The 1827-nt window shown below is 37.9% G+C and overlaps 1 annotated feature.

The window, feature by feature from the left end:
* Nucleotides 641-730: an enhancer, noted in NCBI's record as "active region_21818". NCBI's record gives its function as "activates an Ori minimal core promoter by ATAC-STARR-seq in GM12878 lymphoblastoid cells {active_cell/tissue: GM12878}" and the evidence as "EXISTENCE:reporter gene assay evidence [ECO:0000049][PMID:35858748]".

Here is a 1827-nt window from a genome sequence, read left to right on the forward strand (position 1 = left end):
AAGATTTGGTGGTTGAACAAACCTTTGACAGAGAAGTAGAAATTTGTCAATTGGGCTCCAAGGCTTTGGGGGAATGGAGTAAAAAAGAACTTTGCAGGCAAGAGTAATGAAATGGATGCTTGAAATACAGTGTTTTTCTGGGAAACTGTAAATTTTTCTGACATGGCTGGAATATAGATTGCGTGAGAGAGTGATAGGTAGGAAAATTCACATAGGCATTTAAGAGGACCGCTTATACCATACAAACAAAAAGTGATGGGGGAACCCTGATGATTTTTGAATAGCAAAGTGACATAATCATATTTGCAATTCAGACCCAAACTCTGGTGGTTTTGCCAGAGTTAAAGTAAGGCAGGGGGAGAGACTGGACACAAGCCTTGGAGGTTTTCTTCTTCTTTTTCTTTTTCTTTTTTCTTTTTTTTAAAGCGATCTAAAAAAATCCTGACTAAACTTCCAATAATAAAAATATTAGTAACAATAAACAGAATTCAAATTCCAGGTAGTGCTTTAGACTTTCAATATGTTTAATTTCACTAATCCCTGCATCAACCCCTTGACTCACTATTACTATCCCCAGTTGATAAATGAGTACATTTAGGGTTGCAGAAGTGAAAGAACTTGCCCTAGGTCACCAGGCAAGTAAAAAAAACATGAGCCTAAGCGGTTTCATTCCAGAGCCTGAACCCTTGTCCCTGCCTAAGGGTGCACATAGGCCTTTTAATGCCAATATCCCAAAATTTATTGTTGTTGTTTCTACCTGCTGTACGAGGATGTTAAGCCCTTCCCCTACATCTCACTTGGTTATTTCTGGTCCTCTCCAGAAACTGTGTCATGTGAAACCCAGAACTCCTTCTTATGTTCTTCTGCTCTGGAGGTGCATACCCAGGTCACAGATAGGCCTAGACATGTCTACAGCCTAGATTAGTTCTAGTTGTAATTACTGTCATGCTATTACATACCAACTCCCTGGGGAACCTGTCAGCTTTTGAACAGCTATTCTGGCCTGCCTGCTCAAACTATCATATTTTCTATGTTTAGCTATATTAAGATGTAGTTATTAGTTTATAGATTTAAAAAAAAGGGATTGAAATCATTCTCTCCCTACCTTCCTTCCACTGCCTTCCTATCTTCTCACCATTATGGAAAAAAGAAATAAAAAAAGGGGATTCCCAGTTAAAACCACAGAAGAAAGTATTAGGAAGAATTATGGAACATTTTTTTTCCTAATTTGAAAATTCAAATCTTAGAAAAGGCAACCAGAACAAGTTACCCTTTGTTTTATCTCAGACCAAGAGCAGAAATAAATTCCAAATTCTGATCATACCTCAGATCTCAGGCATAACATTATTTCATCAGAAAAGCCAAACTAGGTCAGTACTTTGGGTTTTAGCTCTCATTTTATCTTTATGGAACTCATCTGCCTAAAATTAAAGATTTAATTGACTCAAATGTGGATTGATGCTTATCACTTCTGATCAAATGGTAGTTTTTTAAGGGCAAAAACATTTTTTGTTTTAGACACAACTATAATATAAGTGCTGAGAACAGTGCCTTACTTCTGACAGACTTTCAACAAATATTTAAGGCATACAAGGAAATGAATGATGGAATAAACTGATAGTATTATCTGCCCTTCACAGACAGCCCTACTCATAGGAATGAGTAGGAATAAGGAGGATCTCTGGCAGACTGATACAGTTTGGCTATTTATCCCTGCCCAAATCTCATGTCGAAATGTAATCCCCAGTGCTGGAAGTGGGGTCTGGTGGGAGATGCTTGGATTATGGGGGCGGATTCCTCATGTTTTGGTGCTGTCTTCATGATAGT

This window comes from Homo sapiens, chromosome 4 (assembly GCF_000001405.40).
Source record: "Homo sapiens chromosome 4, GRCh38.p14 Primary Assembly".
Classification (NCBI taxonomy): Eukaryota; Metazoa; Chordata; class Mammalia; order Primates; family Hominidae; genus Homo; species Homo sapiens.